Below are 24247 nucleotides of genomic sequence, written 5' to 3'. Positions count from 1 at the left end.
ACAAGAGTTTTCCTATCAATTACTGAATACCCATTGTGTTTTTTTCCCTCAATCACCCGGGAGGAACTATTTATTGTCCTGTCCTCAAGGAAGTTCCTCCTAGGTCTGGTTAGAACTTTGTATAGTAATAAGATTTAAATCCCGTTAGGAAATCTGCTGGGTTAAGGGAATTTTCAGTGGTTAATGTTAAATCATCTTTTTCTAAAGAACAGCCCGATACTTTAAGATTTTTGAGTCAGTAAGCTACCTTTTTGCCTTTTTTACTTAGGGTATTTCTGAACTGGTGAGGTATGCTCATAATGAGGTTTCCTCTAAAGTTATTCTTCTACTTTCTTCTGCTAGCAAAGCAGTTGCTGCTACAGATTGAATGCATTTGAGCCATCTGTGGGTTATTGGGTTAAGGATTTTTGATAGGAAGGCTACGGGTTGTCAGTGGCCTCAGCGCTTTTGGCTACACCCTTGTTTACACTGATAACAAGGTGGTATTGGAGTGTTACAGGGTCACGGAGAGGATCTTCAATTATCAATTATAGGTTTTAAATTTACCCTGGCTTTTAAAGGAATAGGGTACACTTTTTTCTTTACTACTTCTCTTTCTTTCTCTCTCTGACTTTCTGTCTCTCTCTGACTCCCTTTGTTTCTCTACCTCTTTCTCTCTTTTTCCCCTCTCTTTCTCCCTTCCCTTTGGTAGATGGATTTTGGGAACACAGCAGAAGGACATTTGCTCGTTGCCCCCATTTGCCACTATAGGAATATGCTCCTCCCTTTAATTTATTCAATTTGCTTTCATCCTGATCTATTATGTTGTTGTAGACCCAGTTCCAGTTGTTAAAGTACTGGGTTACCAGTTCTAAGGCCCTGGCCAAGGAGCTGAGGCTTGGAGATTGCATTGCAGGTGGGGGTAAGCTGGGTAGAAATTGGGGGAGGAGAGCATCTTACACAATGGGAGAGCAATCCTCCTAGCCATTTACAAATTTGGGGCCCTGGCAAGGGTGGTGAGGAACGGGTCCCACCTAACTACCCACGTCGAGGGCTGTATACCTAAATTGGGAGAGACACCAGGGGCAAGACTCCCTGGGTTCATAGCCTAGGTGCCTAAGGATGCAGTGTAGAGCTTCTCTAGATCCCTTTGGAGATACAACTTGCTCTAATACCTGGGAGAGGGAGTGAAAGTCTGAAGCATTAGTACCTAGGAGGCAGGGACTGGAGGAAGTAGATTCAGAGGTAAGGAGAATTTTGGGGCTACACTTTCAAGAAAGTGGTGGTTGGGACCCAGGAGGTATGGGTCAAAAGGAGAGGTAGGGGTGCCTGCATGGGCGACTGTGGAGTAGAGACTTCTGGCTGCACCATGATCTCGACTGGCCAATGCCGGGAATTCAGGATGACAGTTTTCTGCTTCTAGTCGGCCCTCAGCTTCCCCAGGAAAATTGTAAAAGCGGAAGCTGGTTCCAGGCAGACCAATGCTCCCAACTCAGATGGGGGCTGTTCGCCTTTTCCCAGAAAGCCTCACACCTGAGTCTTAAGTCCAGCAGCCATGCTAATCATTTTTAAATGGTCAACAGCTGCCCAGTATTTTCCTCTGATTCTAAGGAAGGATAGGACAGAATAGCAAGTCAAAGTGGTCCAGTATTACTCAGGGCTTTGGAGAATCCCTGTACAGGCCACCAGATGTTACTGGTGGGTCTTTGTTCTTAGAGCTCTCAAGATGATGGCAGGCTGCTCCCAAGATAGCAGCAAGCCTTTTGCTCTCTGACCTGGGGTTCTTGGCCTCAAGGATTCCAAGGAATGGAACCTTGGGCCACGAGGGGAGTGTTATAGCTCTGTTAGAAGCCGTGGGTCACAGAACAGAACCGTGGAACCCAGCGACTAGTGTTCAGCTCTACTAGGATGAATGCATGCACTTAGCCGCGCAGAAACAATGGCAAGCCTCTAGCCTGATCAGGAGCGGCAATGGGCGCCTTGCTGCATCAGAAGCGCAGCAGACACCTTGCCGGATCCAGAGCGGTGAAAGTCAATGGCGGGTCTGCGACGGCGACGTTCAGCAGTGGTGGACGGCGAGTGAAAGCTCAGCTTGAGCCCTAACAAACATGGACCAGAAGAGTGTGCAGTTGCAAGATTTAATAGAGTGAAAACAAAGCTCCCATACAATGGGAGGGGATCCAAAGGGGGTTGCCACTGCCAGTTCGAATACCTAGGTTTATATCCTGATAGTTGTCCCTCCCCCTGTGCTCTCAGGCGATAGATGACTATTTCTTTACCTCCTGCTTTTAGCTTAACGGGTATTTTAGTGAGCTCTCTGTTACCTGATTGGTCAGGTGTGAGCTGAGTTACAAGCCCCATATTTAAAGGTGGATACAGTCACCTTCCCCAGCTAGGGTTAGGAATTCTTAGTCGGCCTAGGAAATCCAGCTAGTCCTGTCTCTCATTACTATCCCTCAATACCTAACGTAATGTATAGCACACCAAAACTTGGGGAAGGGCAAGGAATGGGAGTTGCCAGCTTCTGCTGGAAGAAAATTGGGTTAAATAACTGACAAATTAAATATTTAATCTTTAAAAACCCTTTAAAATAAAAAACGCCATGATTGAAAAGTAATTAAAAACACTGCAATTTAGTATCATGTTTTGTGCATTCTTTGTATAATACTGATACTGTTTTTAAAAAGACATTTGAAAACTAAGTGCAGTTTTAAAAGGGCATATAACATTTTATTGACAAATAACAGAGATAGAGAAGTGAACTGTAGATAATCCTGAAAAACTATGCCTACTTCAAGTGTAACCTAACAAGTTTTTCCAAATGACCACTTTCCTTTCAGCGAATTAACAACAATCTTAATAACCTCACTAATAACTGTGTACGTTATTCTTTAAGTTAACATATGACAGTGTGGGAGGACACTCCCTGACAAAGATTAATGGACTCCATTAAGGATACCTATAGTTCCTTGCTCAGGAAGGAAACATTTTCATAGAATCTCCTTAGTTATTTTATTCACATAACAAGTCAAGTGTTAGCAACTAGCGTTACTCTCAGAGTCTAATGGGGAAGCTAAGTACGAAAATAAATGATTGCAATTCACTGTGATACATGCTGTAATAGAGGGATAGGAGGTATGCAACAGGTGTTAAGGGTAGATCAAAGTAGACAAGATGAACTCTGCTAACAGGGATTAAAGAAGGCTTTAGACTCTTGGAGGAAAAGTGGTTGTGGGAGGGGAGAGAATACTCCAGGCAATAACCTACAGAGTCACAGAAATTTGAAACAGCATGGCTTAATCAGAAAACTTTTTAAACTCATATTACTGAGGTATAGGTATACAATGGGGGCAGTGGGGGAGCGGGGGTTACAACAACATAGGCCTGAGGGAGAAAGTACACACACCCAGGCCAGGATGGCCAAGAAAACCACATTTGCCAGGTCACTAGGGGTGGAGGAAAAATATCTAAGGCATATGAGTCATGTTTTAGGATAAATGTTAAAAGTGAAATGTATATAAACGTTTCAAAAGTGAAATGTATATAAACATGAACTCAATCAGTATACAGATTGATTTTGTTAAGAGCCTGCTCTGGATCCAAACAGAGAGTGCATGGGACTTGTTGGCAAAAATCCCAGGACTGACAGACGCTGGTATCACAGAGGTCTGTGATGCAGCTCCAACACTCAACAGCCAGAGGATCACAACCACATTACTTAACCTGGACACCTCACTTATAAAGTTAGGAGGTTAGGGGAAAACCTCTCTGGGGCCTCTACTAACACAGAAATTCTAAATATAGGCTACCTTTTGACCACCGAATACCTATCAGGAACTTTACAGAGGGCTCTTGGTATTTACATATTTAACATCTAGAGATTCAACTATTCATGAATAATCCAAAGGTCATAACATGGAAGTAATCTGCTGAAACTCAAAACTGAATTGTGAACACTGCAAGGCTGATGTCAAAAAACAAACCATTTAGGTAGTAATTAATGACTCTGGCCAACTGTCTAGTATCCTAATCTCAAAAAGCCTTTATTCTGTTCTACTTACTTCATAAGCACTTCTTGGGGGAAGTGATATGCTACAATAGATTTGTAAATGTGAAGGTTCAAAAGGACCTTGTTATGTCCCTTGACAATGTCAAGTATGTCCTAAAATAGGCACTTTACATTCTCACCTCATCCAAACAAAAGCCTCAAAAGCAAGTTGCTGATTTATCAGTAGTACTTACAAGTAAAGGAATGAAAGATTTAGTTCCATTAACGAGTCCCTGACACTGTTTATATTGAGAGAGCTAAGAGAACCTATAACCAAGGAGATTCTCAGAAAATGCAGTTGTGAGCCCCCAAAATTTGAGACAGGTCTCAGTTAATTTAGAAAGTTTATTTTACCAAGGTTGAGAACAGGCACCCGTGACACAGCCTCAGGAGGTCCTGAAGGCACGTGCCCAAGGTGGTCAGACCACAGTTTGGTTTTATACATTTTAGAGAGACATGAGACATCAATCAACACATGTAAGATGAACATTTGGTTCTATCTGGAAAGGCGGGACAACTCGAAGCAGGGAGGGGGCTTCCAGGTCATAGGTAGATAAGAGACAAATGGTTGCATTCTTTTGAGTTTCTGATTAGCCCCTCCACAGAAGGCAAGCAGATATGTATTTATCTCAGTTAGCAGAGGGGTGACTACGAATAGAATGGGAAGCAGGTTTGCTCTAAGCAGTTCCCAGCTTGACCTCTTCCTTTAGCTTAGTGATTTGGGGGGCCCAAGATATTTTCTTTTCACAGAGAAAAGAATCCAAAACTGCAGAGAGTTTAAAGGCCAAAAAGTAAATAATGAATAATAAAAGCATATAATGAATTAAGCATATTGTTTAAGCAAATGCAAACTCATTCATTCATGAGACTAGGGGTCAATAAAGTACACACAAAACCACTCAACTACATTATACTAAAGTTGCACTTCTTGCATTTTTTACTCTAGTAACTAGGGAACCCTAGAAATTCCCCATTTTTTCCAAAAATGCAGGAAAATGAAAATTAACTTGTGCTGACTTATATATACATATATTTATTGATATTTATATATTTAAATACATATAGTTAAATGTAGCAAACAGTATATTTATATATAACTACACATTAATAATTAATCTAAACTCAGTTTAGATTCAACAAATTTTCCAGTGAAAAACCCTAACACATCTTTTGTGAAATATGTTCATTAGTAATCAGTAAAATATAAATTAAAGTACCATTTTCCTTCTATCTCATTAGAAAAACTGAAAATATTCACAATATTTAACATTAGCAGGGCTATAGATACAAATGTATTTTTCTATCCTGCTACTAAGACTGTAAATTAAGTACCACCCTTTAAGTTAGTAATAAGGCAGTACTTGTCAAGACAGAAATGTGCATTTTTAATTAATAATTATATTTCAAGAACTCTATCACGCAGAAATATTTATAGGAGTACACAGAGAAATGGATACAACATTGTTCATGTAAGTATAATTTGTAATAATAAACAGTGGGCAATAATAAAGCCTACCAATAAGAGAAGGGGGAACATTTATTTTAACATTTATTATGAAATACTAAGCAGGCATTCAAGAGAATAAGGAAACTCACATCATCTGATATGACTGGGTATCCTTGACATTCAGTAAATAAAACCGATTGCAAAATATAATAGATGGCATGATCCCATTTTTGCCTTAAGCCAAATTTTTTAAAAATGTGTACATCTATGTATATTTGTGTATGTGAGTACATGTATTTCTAGGTGTATTAATAGGTCTGATTTCAACAGAGGGGCATAGTAAACTCAAGATTATGCCACAAAGAGGCTATCTGGAGATAAATATCCTCTCCTTAATCTCCATCCACCCTTTTATCTCCTTCGAGGGCTTCCTTCCCCTTGACCTCACCCAACTGGAAATAAGAGAAAAGTGTGCCCCCTGGGTCTCTTGAGGCAGACAAAAGAAAAGAATGGAGAGCGTGTCCAGAGGGCAAAGAGAAGACATCCAGCAGAACAATATCAACATAAGGAAAATGAGGAGTTACAAAGCATTATCTAGAATATGATAACCTTTTATATATACATTATACAGTGGTTAATTTTTTCTATTTTTGCTTACATAAATTTATTAATTTTGATAAAAACAAATGTGTCATGAAATAAAATAAGAATTCCAAAAAACTAAAAACAAAACTAAAAAGGTCTGAAGAGTTTCATATTAAGATGAAATATCTAATTGTGCTCTCTCAAAAAACACACTAAAAATCCCACACCTACAAAGAATAACCAAAAAAAGAACAACATTTTAAAAGCTGGAAAGCAGAAAGCCAAATGTTGACTATCCTGGCTGACCTGCAAAGACAAAGTGTAAGCCAGCAGAGGAAAAAGTTGAAAACAAACCCACAGAATCCTCCTAAGGCCTAGGAGGCGGAAGCATCAGGTACTGCTGGATGCAAATGGAGATGAATGGCAGTTTGCCAAAATAAAGAGGATTAGGTAATGAGTGAGGGGCAGGTGGATTCCTAGATTCCCTTCTCTCTCTGCACCTCTGGGTAACTGTCCCTCTCCTACCGCAGCATAAACTTGCATGTCTATTCTCTAGAGAAGGTAAAACAGAGTTTCCCAATTAGGAAATGCACAGTTTAGGGCATGGTCACCACTCTAAGAACAGTGGGATTAAGTGACCATATACATGCTGAATCCTGAATGCTAAAACCTCAGACCATCTTCCCTGGATGAGCTCTCAGATGGCTGGCAACAAGATCTTTGGTCCTATGCCAGTTGTCCTATAGAATATTCTGCAATGATGGAAATGTTCCCTAGTTATGCTGTCCAAAACTGCAGCCATTAGCTACATGTAGCTATTGAGCATCTGAAATGTGGCTAGTGCCATTGAAGAAATGAATTTTTAACTTAATTATATTTCAATTTAAATAGCTACATGTGGGTAGTGGCCACAGTATTGAACAGCACAGTCCTAGGCAGAAGACAGGAGTGTACTCTCTGGGATGTCTGACCAGGCTATGAGGAAAGACAAAAATACAGAAACAGGCCAGGCGCGGTGACTCATGCCTGTAATCCTAGCACTTTGGGAGGCCGAGGCGGTCAGATCACTTGAGGTCAGGAGTTCGAAAATACAGAAACATTGAGGGATTCCCTAATAAACAGCCCACATAAATCACCCCTCAGTAAAGCCCAAAGTTCACAAGCCTCACCTACGTGCAAGCCTCTACTGGCTTTCTAAATCACCCATTTTTTATTAGGAACAGATAATGAGACTTCTGAGCAAACACTCTAACATGACATTAGAGACTAAATTAAACAGAAAAAAAAGTATACTTGAAGGAAATAAACTATTCAGGGGAAAAGAAAACTTCAAAGAAAACTATCTTTAACATTTTCAAAAAGACAATAAATACTGCAATCAGGAAACAATAACATGTTCTTGTGGGAAAATAAAATGAAGAAAGGAAATATCCAGAGAATAAAAGAGCTACTGAAAGTTTAAAACAGCAAAAATGATTAGCAAAAATTATACACGACCAAAGAGTTAGAAAATAAAGTTGAGAAAAAATCTCCCAAAAAGCCCAGCAGAAGATAAAGAGATGGAAAGCAGAAAGAATATATGAAAGGGCCAAGACACGAGGTCCCATATGCCAGTAATACAAGGGCCAAAAAGAGTTGTGAGAAATTGGAGAGGGGGAAATCAGCAACAACAATCTCAAAAAAATTCCCCGGAACCGGAGAAAATGACATTCCACATTAACAGAGCCTACTAATAGCAAAGATAATGGATGAAAACAGATGTTCACCAAGGAATACCACTGTAACTTACAGAAGAGTGGAGACAAAGAACGTTCCACAAACCTTCTAGAAAGGAAAAAACAGGTTACATACAAAGGATTAAAAATTAGACCAGCTTTGAACATCTCAGCAGCCAATACCAGGAGCAAGACAAAAACAGAACAAAAACTTTAAGATTCTAAAGAAAATTATTTCCAACCCGTCCCTGTAGCAAGTGTTAGAGTAGTTGGTAGAAAAACACTGTCAGACATGCCAGGTGTAAAAGTGACTTCCCATACAATCTTTTAAAAAGAAGCTACTGGAAAATGGGCTCCACTAAAAGAAGTAAACAAAGACTAAGGGAGATCTGAAATACAGCAAGTAAGAGATCATCATAGATGAGAGGTCAAGAAGGATGATCCTGAAAGGGAGATTTCAGGGTGACAACTATACATTAGATAGAGAAGGCATTCGGTCCAAATTCTGAGAGGATGGCACAAAAGGAAGACTCTCTGAAAGTTGTTATCACCAAAATCCTTGCTACTAAACAAACCATCTGTTTGAGTCAAGAATAGAGTGTCCAGGTGAACCTGGCACAAATCCTAATCTGTACTTGGCTTCTTGACCATGTGCTAATAAAATTCCTGCTCTCCCTGCCACATTTGGCTTCCACATCAGCTGATGACACTGATTTTATCTGTCATATAGCACTCTGCTTTGTTGGGCGTCGTGGCTTATGCCTGGAATCCCAGCACTTTGAAAGGCCAAGGCGGGTGGATCATTCGAGGTCAGGAGTTTGAGACCAGCCTGACCAACATGCAAAACCCCACTCTACTAAAAATACAAAAATTAGCCAGGCATGGTGGCATGCATCTGTAGTCCCAGCTACTTGGGAAGCTGAGGCAGGAGAATCATTTGAACCCAGGAGGCAGAGGTTGCAGTGATCAGGCCACTGCACTCCAGCCTGGGGGAGACAATGAGACTCTGCCTTAAAAAGAAAAAAAAAAAGTATTCTGCTTTGACCTAATCCTGAAATATGGAGACAACACATGGTGAATTTAGAAACAAAATATATTCCCACTGGACAGCTATACTATTCAACACCCCATTCATGTTGAAAACTCTCAATAACTGGGCTTTTAAGGAACATACCTCAAAATAATAAGAACCATCTATGACAAAAACCACAGCCAATATCATACTGAATGGACGAAAGTGAAGGCATTCCCCTTGATAACTGGCACAAAACAAAGATGCTCTCTCACTACTCCTATTCAACATAGAATTGGAAATCCTGGCTGAACAATCAGGCAAGAGAAAGAAATAAAGAGCATCCAAATAGGAAGAGAGGAAGTCAAACTATCCCTGTTTGCAGATGACATGAACCTATATCTAGAAAACCCAAAGTCTTGGCCCAAAAACTCCTTAAGCTGATAAACAACTTTAGCAAAGTCTCAGGATACAAAATCAATGTATAAAAATCACTAATATTCCTATATACCAACAATAGTCAAGCTGAAAGCCAAATCAAAAACCCAATCCCATTCACAATTGCCACAAAAAGAATAAAATAACTAGGAATACAGTTAATCAGTAAGGTGAAAAGATTTCTACAAGGAGAACTACAAAACACTGCTCAAAGAAATCAGAGATGACACAAACAAATGGAAAAACATTTCATGCTCATGGATAGAAAGAATCAATATCATTAAAATGGCCATACTACACAAAGTAATTTATAGATTCAATGCTATTCCTATTAAACAACCAATGACATTCTTCACAGAACTAGAAAAAAACTATTTTAAAAATCATATGGAACCAAAAAAGAGCCCAAAGAGCTCTTCACTTTTTGCTTAGGCAATCCTAAGCAAAAAGAACAAAGTTAGAAACATCATGCTACCCAACTTAAAACTATATTACAGGGCTACAGTAACCAAAACAGCATGGTACTGGTACAAAAACAGACACATAGACCAATGGAACAGAATAGAGAACCCAGAAATAAGGCATCACGCCTACAACTATCTGATCTTCAACAAAGCTGACAAAAACAAGCAATGGGGAAAGGACTCCCTATTCAATAAATGGTTCTAGAAGAAGACTGAAACTGGACCCCTTCCTTACACGATATACAAAAAATCATCTCAAGATGGATTAGAGACTTAAATATAAAACTCAAAACTATAAAAACCCGGAAGGCAATACTATTCTGGACATAGGAACTGGCAAAGATTTCATGACAAAGATACCAAAAGTAACTGCAACGAAAGCAAGAACTGACAAACGAGATTTCAGAAAACTAAAAACTTTTGCACAGCAAAAGAAATTATCAACAGAGTGAACAGACAACTAACGGAAAGGGAAAAAATTTTTTCAAACTATGCATCTAACAAAGGTCTAATATCCAGCATCTATAAAAAACTTAAACTTACAAGAGAAAAACCCATTAAAAAGTGCGCAAAAGACATGAACAGACACTTTTCAAAAGAAGACATACATGTGGCCAACGAGCATATGAGGAAAAAGCTGAACATCACTGATCATTACAGAAATGCAAATCAAAACCACAATTAGATACCATTTCACACCAGTCAGAATGGCTATTACTAAAAAGAAAAAATAACAGGTGCTGACGAGGTTGCAGAGAAAAATGAATGCTTATATGCTACTGGTGGGAGTGTAAATTAGTTCAACCATTGTGTTAAACAGTGTGGCAATTCTGCAAAGACCTAAAAACCCACAGACCCCTTACTGGATATATACCCAAAGAAGTATAAATTCTTCTATCATAAAGACACATGCATGTGTATGTTCACTGCAGCTATTCACAATAGCAAACACATGGAATCAACCTAAATGCCCATCAATGGTAGACTGGATAAAGAAAATGTGGTACAAATACACCAGGGAATACTATGCAGCCATAAAAAAGAATAAGATCATGTCCTTTGCAGGAACATGGATGGAGCTGGAGACCATTATCCTAAGCAAACTAACGCAGGAACAGAAATCCAAATACCACATGCTCTCACTTATAAATGGGAGCTAAAGGCTAAGAACACATTGACACACAGAGGGGACACTGGGGCCTACTGAAGGGTAGAGGGTGGGAGTCAATCAGGAAAAATAACTAACAGGTACTAGGCTTAATACCTGGGTGACAAAATAATCTGTTTAACAAACCCCCATGACACAAGTTTACCTATATAACAAACTTGCACATGTAAACCTGAACTTAAATAAAAATATTTAATAAAAAATTTGAAAAGACATCAGTTAATCCCTGTTAAAATTATTTTTTGTTGTAATCTCTAATCAAATACTCTACTAGAAAAGCAATCCTTGGGAGTCAGTTAAAACAAATATATCAGACAACTTTATAATTTTTCCAAGACAACTATAAGCAACACATTGATTTTGATTCAAATGACAAAATCAAATACATAAAATTAAAGTGAACACTAACGTCAATTATTGCATATATAGTATATGCATATACAATAACAGTCATTATTACAATTATCATTAGCAATAAAAATAGAAATATTTTAAAAGACAGCTAAAATAATCAGAACCTGATTACTGAGATTATTCTGCAATCTGAAGGAATTGAAATATGTTCATTATTTATGCACCACTCTTCTTGTAAGCTTCACAACCAGACACAGTCAAACTGATTGTTTTTTTCCATAAACGTTAGTGAAATATTTATGAGCTAATTAATTTCTTTTAAATCTATGGATAGATGCTAATTTGCACAGCCTCATTCTGATGAACATGTCTGCATTTTCTAACTGCTGTTAAAGAGTGTATGCAAGCCTTTCTGTGCAATCTACAAGGATCCATGTAATTTTCTTTCAGAACTTAGTAACATAAACTGTCCTGCCTAAAGAAATGGTATGTTTCTTTATTCCCCCAATGAGAACTGTATTTGTTTTCCTTTTGAGTCTCAAAGGCTCATAGCTAAATTTAACATTCAATTCCAGGAAGAAAGATTATAGCTATTACTATCTCTTTCTCCTCTTTCAATCTTTTATTTGTATTCTTAATAGCATTATCACGTGTCTTTTATTATAAAAAACTTTAAATTCCTTTAGGAAGCGACTATTAATTAAAAATAAATAGAATGTTACCATTAGTGACTTTACTCATCTTTACTTATTAATTTTAAAACACTGTCTCTATTATAGTACGGTTTTGAGAAACCATTAGAAATATTTAAAAATTTATGTTAAAAATATTCCAAAGACAGAAAAGTATATTCCTTTAATAAACAAATCATCAAAAGAAAAAACCTTTATCTGTTTGGAAAAAACAAACAGACAACAGGAAAGGAACAAACTACACAGTTTCATTCTTCCGAAACAGAACAAAAGAATAATACTTTCTTAGGAACAAAAAGAAGTTACAAGATAACAAGCTTTTTAGTTAGGGAGAACTTAGGAGAAATAAAAGCCCAGTTCACCAATTCTGAGCAAACACAACAGGACAGTTAAAGAGCAGAATGGGGCCAAACTTCAGTTATATGTACCCAAAATGAAGCAAGGAAGGACTCTGAACCGTTAATGGATTTAATAAACAAGCCTGGTAATTCCCTGGGGGAAGTCTGAGAGTTCTTAAACCAGAATAAAGGTGGTTTAGGATTACCTCAAAATGACACAACTTATCTCTTATTACTTACCTCTTGAGGTTTACTGAAAGGTTTAGTGTGAATTAAATATTCACAGTTCTCCAAACCCTGATATAATTATCTTGCTTAAAATTCAAGATAATACATAGAAGCCAAGTATATGCTGTATGGTTCTTCTTATCTGAAGTTCAAAAACAGATAAGCTACATTATAACGTTACAAGTACGAGTAATGGTTATCCTTGGGAGGTGTGGAGCAGGTATAGGAACTGAAAGCACCAGGGAGCTTTTAAGATTTTGGTAATACTCTGTTTCTTTAACTGGCTGCTGGTTACACAGGGTGCATTCACTTTATTAAAACTGAAATTTGTGATTTATGTACTTCTCTATATGTATGTTATGACAATAGTCACCCAAAAATGTTACATGCATAAAATAATTTAACCTGAATATTTTATAAATCATCTAATTAGACATATGCTGTTCATAGGAAGAAAATACAAATGCTCAATAAATATACAAAGAAATGTTCGACTTCACTATTTTCAAGAAAATGCAAATTAAAACAATAAAACTCCATTCCCCTCTCCTGTAGATTGTTAAAAAAAAAAAAAAAAAAAAGTTTTGCCCCTGATATTCTAAAAATCATTGTTGGTGTCCTTGCCTTCACAGCTGGAGGGAGTATCAAGTGGTATACCCAGTTTAGAGGGCAAACTGATAAGTAGGTATTGCTATTCTGAATATCATTAATTCCCTCTTAGTATTTACCCTAGAGAAATATTCAACTGAATGTACAAAGATGTTTCCTTGCAGCATTGTCTGTAACAGAAAAAGAAGAAACATTAATGTCCACTGATGGGGAGAGAGCTAAATTAACTATGGTACATCCAAATACTATGACACAATATGCAGCAGCTGGAAAGAATGCAGTCAAGCTGTATTTTCTAAACTGATCTGCTCTCCAAGATGTATTGCTAAGAGAAAATGCAATACCATTTTTGGAAGGAAGGAAACCACACCCTCCCCCAAAAGGCTTAATGCCATATGGTTTATATAAATAATTACAAATGCACAGAGATCTGTCTAGAAGAATACCTGCCAATGACACATGCGGTTGCCTCTATGGGATGGGACAGCTGTGACTGAGGATGGTGGTCAAAGGGAATTAAACCTTTCTCTAATGTTTCATAGAGAACATTTCCATTTGTTACTTATAGGGTTAAAAGGAAAGAAGGGAGAGAGAAAAGGAAGGGGAGAGGAAAAAGAAGTAGCTTAGCTGTAGCCAAAGTAAGTTGCCTGTCAGTAACTGCTATTTTTCCATGATCCCATAATCAAAGCAAAAAGATTAATGTTAAGGTAGAAACAACCCATACCCCTTAGGAAGATGATTGCTTGCCATACATTAAGCCCAAAGTAAATTTTCAACAACAAGTTAGAAAGACTGAAAACATAAATTGAGATAGGAATGATAAAAGTATTTAGTAAACTAAAACTACATTGGCACCACCAAAGATCCTGAGCCTAATAAAACCATCATTTGGTTTACTGAGTAGCATTTATCTCTTCCCATTTGAAGTTTAAGCTCATGTTTTGTTTTTCCCTTCATGAGACACAGCCAGAAAAATTATTAATATAATAAAAGAACTAAGTGATGAAGTCAGAAAGCAGGTTTACTGAAATTAAATCCATCTACACAAAATATGAGCCCATAAATATATGTTACATGTAATATATGTTATGTTATGTAATATGTTATATATGTAATGCATATTATGTGTAATATGTTGTATATGTTTATGTTGTGTATATATGTGTAATATATGTGTTTATATATACACACACATATATAAACACACACACACACACACGTAAGTCCCTTAAGCATGAAGAAAGTTCTAGCAGAAATTTTCTCTGCTCACAACTCAAAGAGGCCAGTTGTGACAGTCAGGCTAAGACCTCACATCTCCTGTGACCGGCTAAGCGTTCTTTCCATTAGAAGGGGATCTTAGAAGGCTAAGGAAAATCAACTAAAACAGAGAAAAGCAATTAATATACAACCAAGGCCTGAGTCTTGAGGGAGAACAGTGCTCAGTCAAGCTAGGACAAAATGCAAAGACATAAAGAAGCGGACTTCTTGACATTATTTTTTGTGGTACACACTGCACAGTGATTGGTTTAGTCACAAGGAAGTTTTTCCATGGTTTCAGATTTCTGTTTGGTTTTGTTTCCTCCAAACTGTTTCAAACAATCTGAATTATTAGCAGCAAACTTTTAAAAATATCACCATTTTTTTCTTCTCAAACAGCAAGTACACTATATTTCAACAATTTCCTGTTACTACACAAAGTTTCCTTTCAAGATGTAAAAGTTAAAACCACATACACCCATGCTAAGTGGAACTCTATTATGTGAAATCATTTCAAAATGATTAGGGTAACTCTAGTATACTCCACCTAGCTGTTATTTAAGGGACTACTTTTCAAATTACTTATTATAGTCCTCAAAATGTTAAACATAGAGTTACAATATGATCCAGCAAGCCCAGTCCTAGATATATAAATCCAAGTGAAATGAAAACATATGTCCACACAAAAACAGGCACATAAATGTTCATAGTGAGATAGGAGACCTGCAGGACTTGTTTTCTGGTCACAACCCTACTGGCCAAAACAGGATCTGGCCCAGACAAGATGAAGTGAAAAAACAGGCAGGCATCTAAAGATGGCAAGGAAAGCAATCCCTAGCTGCCCCCATTGTCCATTAGCATAAGACACTCCCACCAGCGCCACGACAGTTTATAAATGCCATGGCAATGACCTGGATGTTACCAACCCCTTCCTTGGCAAGGGCCTGGAAGTTACTGCCCCTTTCCTAGAAAGTTCTAAATAACCTGCCCCTTAATTTGCATGTAATTGAAAGTAGGTATAAGTAAGTATAAATGCAACTGCCAAGAGACCATACGTTGCCTACTCTGGGCCCACTGCCTGTGAGTTAGCCCTGTTCTGCAAGGAACAGTACTGCTCAATAAATGACTGCTGTCACTGGCTCACCCTTAAATTCTTTCCTGGGTAAAGCCAAGAATTCTCCTGGGTTAAGCCCCAATTTGGGGGCTCACCTGTCCTGCATCAATAGCAGCACTATTCATAGTAAAGGAGGAAACAACCCAAATAGACTTCACTTGTTGAACGGATAAACAAAAGTGGTATATCTATCAGTAGATATTATACTAAAAAAAAGAGAGAGATGAGGTACTGACACATGCTACAACATAGATGGACTTTGAAAACACTATGCTAAGTGAAAAAAGCCAATCACTAATGGCCACATGGTATATTATTTCATTCACATGAAATGCCCAGACCAGACAAAGCTACAGAGACAGAGAGCAGACCAGTGGTTCCCTAGGGCTGGGGCTGGGGACAGTGGGAATGTGAGGTGACTACTAATTAGTACAAAGCTTATGAAGGGGGGGTTCTAAAATTAGACAGTGGTGATGGTTGCACAGCTCTGTGAACAGTCTAAAAACAATTGACCTGTACAGTTTAAATGAGTGAATTGTAGATGTGAATTATATTTCAAAACAAAAAAAATAATATGTTACTTAGCTGAGAGATTATCAAGACATGAATAACTAACCACTTCTGCCCTGGAAGTCATGAATGCCAAAGGAAAAAGAGAAATTGTAAGAATACCTATCACCTTACAAATTAGAAACAAGAACAAACACAAGCAAAGCAAGAGAACAAAAGGGGACCAAAAACTAGAGAGTGAAATCACTGAACAAAAAAAGCACTAGATAGAAGTACATCAAAATGTTACCAATGGCTGTCCCTGCATAGTGAGACTGGTTTTTTCCTCCCTCCCTAACTTTTATTTTCCAAATTGTGTGCAACTAGTATAATTTTTACATATTAACAAAAAATATCCCAGCAACATCTGTTCCGAAGAGAAAAATCAGAAGCCAGGATTTCTTACGTTAAAGAACTGGACAAAAGTCCATCACTGATATACATATCACTGAGGGTAGCATTAGCCACTAACATAAAGTATAAAATTTGAATTATACAATGTTAAACTGGTCCAATGTTTTTCATACATATAAAAGTTGATATTCAGACATTAATCTTTTTTTCTAATATAGAATTATTGAGATTCATTGGAAGGCATAAAATACCACTGTTTCAGGGGAGGGCATCCAACAAGTGATTTGACTGGACAAGTAATAAAATGCTTTCCTTCATGTTTCATATTGTATCAATTATTTTTTCTTTTCTTGAGACAGAGTCTCACTCTGTCACCCAGGTTGGAGGGCAGTGGTATGATCTCGGCTCACTGCAACCTCCACCTCCTGGGTTCAACTGATCCTCCCACCTGAGCCTCCCAAATAGCTGGGACCACAGGCGTGGGGCACCATGCCCAACTAATTTTTTTTTTTGTATTTTTTGATAGAGACAGGGTTTCACCATGTTGACCACCGCACTCAGCCTACAATCAGATCTTTAAAACACAAACTGCTCATATTCTTTACAAAATCTATAGTTACATCATTATCTTTTATAAAAGACTTTTTTAAAGTTACAGATTAATGCAAACTGAATGAACACACCACCATTTTGTCAAATAAAACAGAGGCATTTGTTACCAAAGCACTGGGGGTTTGGTCTAGGTCCCTGCTGCTTGCAGCACAGAAAGCCAATCACTGAGATGAGTATTGACAGAGAAAAAGGCTTTAACTGGGTGTCCAGCAAAGGAGACGGGAGATCAGTCTCAAATTCACCTTCTTGCCCAACTAGAATCAGGATTTTATAAGCAGGAAAGAAATGTAACTACACACACACACACACACACACATACACACACACACACACACACAGAACAAAACAAAACAAAAAACGGAATTAGGGAGTGGTAAGGAAGAGGAGTTGGTCAACAGGCAGCAGGTGGTTGGGTCGGGCAATCATGATGGGTGAAGGGGCTGGTGTCTCATTGTCCAGATACGGTGATTTGGTAAGTTTCAGTTCTCTTGATACTATCTGTGAGGCCTGATGGTTGGTATCCTGAAAAAGGAACTCAGATAAGACAACAGTAACTGTCTCAGGTTTTAAGCCCGAGAGGGTCAATTTCTACGTTTATTCAAAAGAAATTATAAAATCAGTTCTATGGGACAAGTGGGCTAGTTTCATATCTGTCATTCATATTATTTTTTCTTTTAATAGATACAAGCAAAATGATGAAAATATTTAAATCGGTTTCCCTCTTACAATCGGTTCTTCACATAGCAAAGGGTAGTTTACCCACAATGACTCATGAAATGTATTCAAGGGTTCAGCCCCCTAAATCTATCTGCTATGTATAAAGTATTTTTCTGCAGAGAGGATCCCTAACATTTTTCAGATGGCTTTGTAACTAGAAAGAGTTAAGGCATTATTGCTTTAGAAAAATAATTCAGCAGCAGCCAAAGATAGTCTTCTACTGGAAACAAATTCTAGAGAAGTGCTTAACTCTCATAAAACTATATTGTGTAATTTTCATTCATGAAACAAGCTTATCTAGGCAATGAGGTAAAGCCACAGATAAAGCATATATAGTCACTATTCTACAAAACAACTCTAACCTGAGTCAAAAAAACCATGAAGTACTGAAGAAGAGGTAGAAATAAGAGATCTATTTCTTATGTATGTATTATAGGTAATATTATTTTGTTTCTACTTATTGGCATTAGATTTTGTTTATTAAATACTTGAGATGTTTTCATGATTAACACCTCATAATATGAAAGGAATCAAATAATTTTTTATTCAAAGCATTTCTGATTGAATTCTATCAACCATGGAATTCGGTGTAAATGTTACTAATGTTAATAAAATGGGTGTTTTCTTTCACTTATTCTCAAAGACAATGGCTTTATATAAAAGTATATTTTGTACAAATAATAACAGGGTCAATTACTCAAACATCTGCTTGGCTATTAAAATGCTGACCCTTTTATTCTCTAGATTTACAAAAATCAAAGTAAGTAACAGATGGAGAATGACCATAGAACTCTATTTATCTTAAAGTGTTTCATGTAGCACATTCTTACCATTAATAAATAAAAACATAGTTAATGTGACTGCCAAAAAAAGACTTTATTTGGTAATAAAATATCATGAAGGCTTAAGAAAGGCAATTGGTACTTGCAGGATGTTTTTAAAGTTATTTATAGGATATACAGATGGAACTTTTTTATGGCCAAAAAGAGACTATTTTCAGAACAGTATAATCATTAAAATACCACGGAAGACATCTTTGAAAATCTGATAAATCTAAAAGCCACATTGCCTATACAATCACATATCACAGAAATTCAGAGTTCAAATAGGCTTTAGAGATAACTTACTCCACTGGCTTGCAAACTTCTGGACCACGAAACTCTTTATCCAAAAATCCCAAGAAGTCTCATATGAAACAAATAAAAACACAGCAGTAGGCTGGGCGCAGTGGCTCACTCCCGTAATCCCAGCACTTTGGGAGGCCGAGGTGGGCAGATCACCTGAGGTCAGGAGTTCGAGACAAGCCTGGCCAACATGGCGAAACCCTGTCTCTACTAAAAATACAAAAAATTAGCTGGGCGTGATGGCGGGCACCTGTAATCCCAGCTACTCGGGAGGCTGAGGCAGGAGAATCGCTTAAACCCAGGAGGTGGAGGTTTGCAGCGGGCTGAGACTGCACCACTTCACTCCAGCCTGGGCGATAAGAGCGAAACTCCGTCTCCAAAAACAACAACAACAACAAAACACAGCTGCTCTATTTCAGAGCCCAACCCCACTCCTCACCTCTATCAGGACCTCTCCTTCTTAAAGGTGTTAAAGAATATCATCCGAAATCAGTGGCCCAACTAAACCCTTTCTATTCTAGATGAGGTAACAGAGATCAGATTCACTTTTGACAGTTTATTTTCCTTACTGCTAAGAAAATTTTTATCCAGACTGCCTGGTAGTTGATTTACACCTTATATAATCTACATTTAAAGTGAGTCACAAACACGTAACTTTAGAGATAGAAGGAGCCTAAGGGCAGGCTTCCCACTCTCAGTCTGGTCTCTCCAGTCTACTCTACCTGTATTTAAAATTGGTTGCATTAAAAATGAGTATTTTTTCAGAAATCATTAAAAGACATGGAACAAAAGAGAAATACCGTATAAAGAACTTTACAAACAATATTCCAATCCTCACAACTCTATAAGGTGGTTAACCATATATCCATTTTACAGCTGCAGAAAGTGAGCTCAGAAACATTCAAACATGCCCATGAGAGAGGATAAAGTAAGAAATCGTGAGAGAGGATAAAGTAAGACACCCGTAAGGCAGGCAATTGGGGTGAGTCCTTGGTAAAACTCCTTCAAACAAAGAAGCCTGAAAATCAAACTGCAGGCCCCAGATAAGAAAGAGCCCATGTCCTTCAATGGAAATGCTTACTCTGTGAACCCAAAACCCTTTGGATACATTTCTCTCTCCTTGGCATGCCTTAGTCCCTTACTTTTCACCTATTTGACATATGTCTACTTTTCTGTAAGTAGCCACGGGCTAAGTCTTCATTTATATAGGGTGAATCATCACTTCAGCCCCTGATTGGTCCCAGGCCAAGGTCCTGGGCCTAGCCTCCACCTCTGCCTCCAATTCTTTACACTAACATACTTCTAAGTGGTGCTTTCTCCAAAACAGCCTGCAGACCAGTCAGCACATTCCTTGTCTTTCCAGTCCATAAAATCCCCGGACTCAGCCTCATAGCTGGCAACCCTCTTTCAGGCCCCCTCTCAGTTGCAGAGTTTTTCTCTTTCGCTTATTAAACTTTTGCTCCAACCTCACCCTTGGTGTCCATGCTCCTTAATTTTCTTGGTCGTGAGACAAAGAACTCTGGGTAACACCTCAAACAAGACTGCTTCATCTAGACCATATAACTGGCAAGCAGCAGAGTCAGGATTTAAACCTACATCCATTTAACTCCAAATCCTGAACGGTTTCCAATAAACAACTTTACATTTGTGTAGCAAATTCCAGGCTATGTAAGAAAGGAGGACTCCATGGTGCAGGCAGAGAAAAATACCATATATTGTTCAAAATTGTATCACAGTGACAGTTATCTACTAATATGAATACCCTAAGTTATTGGCATCGCTGAAATGAGGTGATGAAGAGTATGGCTGACAATGCATTAAAAAATAATAAGAAACAAAGTAACAAGAAGACCAACAAAGCAAAGCTCAGTTTAAATTAATGAGGCCTAGATTATGAATGTAAAGAAAGTTTTAAAAGTAACTATTCAGAGAATCAACAATGAGAAATCTAGTCACTAAACTTAAGCAAAAGCATTAAGTCCAAAAGTGAATGAGAAAAAAATCTGTCAGAGGCTGCTACAAATGAGTAAATTACAATTTATTTAAAACAAAAATTATTTACAAAAGAGTAAAATGTTTTTCAGATATTTAACAAAATGGCACAAAAATAGTTATTAATGCAAAGTCTAACATTTTTAATAAAAACTCAGTTTTTCTCTAAAAGATTTTTATCCTTGATTATACCTAGAATCCTGATAAAAAAGCAATTCAGTGTAAAGGCTAAGAAATATTTATAAAGTTAAGCTACGAAAATTCCACATAATTAATAATTACAAAAGCAACATTCTAGAAGTTATTGGGGATGGCACTTCTCCAAGAAATTAAATGAGTTAGTGGGATGAAAGTAAAAAGGAACTTGAGCTGGTATTAGGGTTGCCTTGTATTGTGTTTACTCCAAGCACTTCGGTTTATATCAGAAAATGCTGAGTCTAGAGGGTATACACAGGGCATCTTCCCTAAGTATCAGTTTTACTATATTTTGCAAAGAATACTTTTACCTTCATACACAAGCACATAAAGCAGATCACAGAAGTCTCATGAAACTTAGCAGGGGAATCTAATTCTGAAATAAGTAAATACTGACATTGTAATAAAGGCTATGAAAGCTATAACAAGAGTTGTATGCTCTTCCAGAAAGGCCAGAAATAATAACAGTAGCAGAGCTAAAGTAGAGAAGTTTTGTTTTGATTTTGGGCTTTTATTTGTGGGTTTGCTGGGCACTGCCTAGGTGGAGACAGGGCTGAAGAAAGCACAGTGTATATGGTATCCCGCATCCCTGGGCAGGTACGTGCTTGTTAGGTTCAAGGAACTGAAATGAGATTCAGATAAGCATTTTTAATAATAAAAAATAGGACCATAATATCTTTATAACTCTAGAGAGGGAGGATGCTAGGCTTAACACTAATCCATTGCATCTGCATATGACACATTTACACAGAGTTTACAAATCACTTTCCATTACACTCTCATTTGACCTTTCTGGCAACCTATAAGAAAAGGTAGGAATTTTACAGATGAAAAAATGGGTTTGTGCCCAAGGTCATAAAGCCAGATAATGGAAGCACTGGAGATATCTCTGAGCCTACTGAACGTCCTCTAGTTATCACACACATATCCACATGTCCACCACCTATACAGTACCCGGAAGAAAGACGCCCAGAAACTCCACTAACTGAGAGGCTACTCTGTGCCAAGGGCAGAATCAGAGGCGAAAGGTACAGTGAGCTGGCACTACCCTACAGGATTCCCCCAACCAACTAATTCAGAAAGAGGGATTCAGATATGGTTTGGGTCTGTGTCCCCACCCAAATCTCATGTTGAATTGCAATCCCCAATGTTGGAAGAGGGGCCTGGTGGGAGGTGACTGGATCATGGAGGCAGATTTCCCCCTTGCTGTTCTCATAATAGTGAGTAAGTTCTCATGAGATCTCGTTGTTTATAAAAATATGTAGCACTTCCCCCTTTCTCTTCCTCCTGCTCTAGCCATGTAAGGCAATCCAGCTTCCCCTTTGCCTTCTGCCACCATTATAAGTTTCCTGAGGCCTCCCCAGCCAAGCTTCCTGTACAGCCTGTGGCACCATGAGCCAATTAAACCTCTTTTCTTTATAAATTACCCAGTCTCAGATAGTTTTTTATAGCAACGCAAGAACAGACTAATACAGACCCCAATATATTATCTGTATCTCCACAGCAAAGAAGTCAAGAATAATACATAACCACCTACCTCATCAAAAAACAAAAAATGTTTTCATGTAAATCTTTAGAAAAACCATGAGGCAAAGAAGTTTGATACCTACTGACTGCTTAGACTTATACTCCAGGACTCACACTCTACTAACAACCACACCTGTGTAATCCATCCAACACCCTCTCCTCTGCCCTTTCACCCCCACCCTTACTTTCTTTACCTATGAAATGAGAAGATTGAGGCTCCATTGGTGGTTCTCAACAAAATGGCACTACCCCTCTAAGAGCATTTTGGAAATCTGTTGGTGCTTTTTCTTTCTTCTTCTTCTTTTTTTTAATCTTCTAGCATAATCATATCTTATACTGTATTTTAAATTATACTCCTTTTATTTTTCCTTTATATTGCAATTAGAGAATTATTACTATATTGATTCATTTTACTTATGGGGTAAAAATTTTCATTAGGAATTTCATTTCAGGACACTAAGGAGAGTATTAGAAATATTTATTATGAAAGGGGGGCTTTGGATTAGAGAGAATTAAACATTAATAGACTAGATGATCTTGAAGGTCCTTTCCAGTTCCATAATTTACTGATTCTATGAATATTTTGAACACAAATAATGAGACAAAGAACACCGATAAACAGAATGTACATAATGATTTGTGGGCAAGAACAAAAAATCCTAAATCTGTTTCTGCACTTGATTAAATAATTAAATTCGTAGGAAAGCAATTACATCTTACTGCCTAAAATGTTATATATCAGAACACTGTGTACTTTACTTTTAAGAAAAGATTAAAATGTCAAAAGCAAAATCAATCTTATAATAGGAACTGACAAACACAAGTTCAAAAGGAAGCTCTGGGACTGGCAAAGATTCAGCCCATATGTCCCAATGATCAATTTCAAAAATTAAAAAAAAAAAAAAATCACACTTCATGAAATGGTTATATCGTGAAACGAACCTGGAATCATTAAGATAAATATATAGATTTACTATACTTCCCTCCACCCCCCAAACAGAAAAATCAGTGATAAATTTCAAAAAAAAAAAAATTAAAAATGATTAAAACAGAAAGATGAAGCTTTGAGGATCAACTGATCAATTTTTCCATGAGCAGGGGACAGCATACAGAAATTAAGAAGACATGGCATCCCTTGAGCAAGCCAAGATTCCAAAGCTACTGCAGACGTTTAAAAAAAAAAAAAGTAAAAGAATGCCTACTATAGGTTAGGCATCCCCATACACACACTTACATACATGTATGCATACACACATACGTGCATGCATACATGTATGCACGTATGCATGTGTGTATGCACGTATGCGTGTGTGTATGCATGTATGTATGCAAAAATATAGGTTTATATTTTTGTATATCATAGCATTTAATAATCATAACCTTTCAAGATAGATATTATTGTCCACTTTCACTTACGAAGAATATGAAGTTAAAAGACAACACAGGGATTTCCAGCTATCGGGACCATGTGAAACAAGTCTTTCAAAAATAAGCCTAAAAGCCTCTGAAGAAAAAAGCTGTCGAAGTTCACACAAACTTGACTTTGTGGAAGAGTTCTGCTAAACTTCACCCACTGACTTCATATTATATATGAAACTATTTTGTTTTTGGTTTTGGTCTTTTTGTTTTTTGGTTTTAAGACAGGGTCTCACTCTGTCGCCCAGGCTGGAGTGCAGTGGCACAGTCATAGCTTACTGCAACCTCAAACTCCTGGAGTCAAGTGATCCTC

The 24247-nt window shown here is 37.6% G+C and overlaps 1 protein-coding gene across 11 annotated transcripts in view, besides 2 other annotated features; it reads right to left on the bottom strand.

The window, feature by feature from the left end:
- LCLAT1 (lysocardiolipin acyltransferase 1) overlaps window positions 1-24247 on the bottom strand; it is a 196980-nt gene that overhangs the window by 125848 nt on the left and 46885 nt on the right. The window lies entirely within an intron of this gene.
- Window positions 1481-1981: an enhancer, noted in NCBI's record as "H3K4me1 hESC enhancer chr2:30739263-30739763 (GRCh37/hg19 assembly coordinates)". NCBI's record gives its function as "activates a minimal SCP1, AML or CMV promoter by ChIP-STARR-seq in primed H9 embryonic stem cells {active_cell/tissue: H9 hESC(primed)}" and the evidence as "EXISTENCE:reporter gene assay evidence [ECO:0000049][PMID:30033119]".
- Window positions 1982-2482: an enhancer, noted in NCBI's record as "H3K4me1 hESC enhancer chr2:30738762-30739262 (GRCh37/hg19 assembly coordinates)". NCBI's record gives its function as "activates a minimal SCP1, AML or CMV promoter by ChIP-STARR-seq in primed H9 embryonic stem cells {active_cell/tissue: H9 hESC(primed)}" and the evidence as "EXISTENCE:reporter gene assay evidence [ECO:0000049][PMID:30033119]".

Source organism: Homo sapiens, chromosome 2 (assembly GCF_000001405.40).
Source record: "Homo sapiens chromosome 2, GRCh38.p14 Primary Assembly".
NCBI lineage: Eukaryota > Metazoa > Chordata > Mammalia > Primates > Hominidae > Homo > Homo sapiens.
This window is presented reverse-complemented; position numbering and strand designations above follow the sequence as displayed.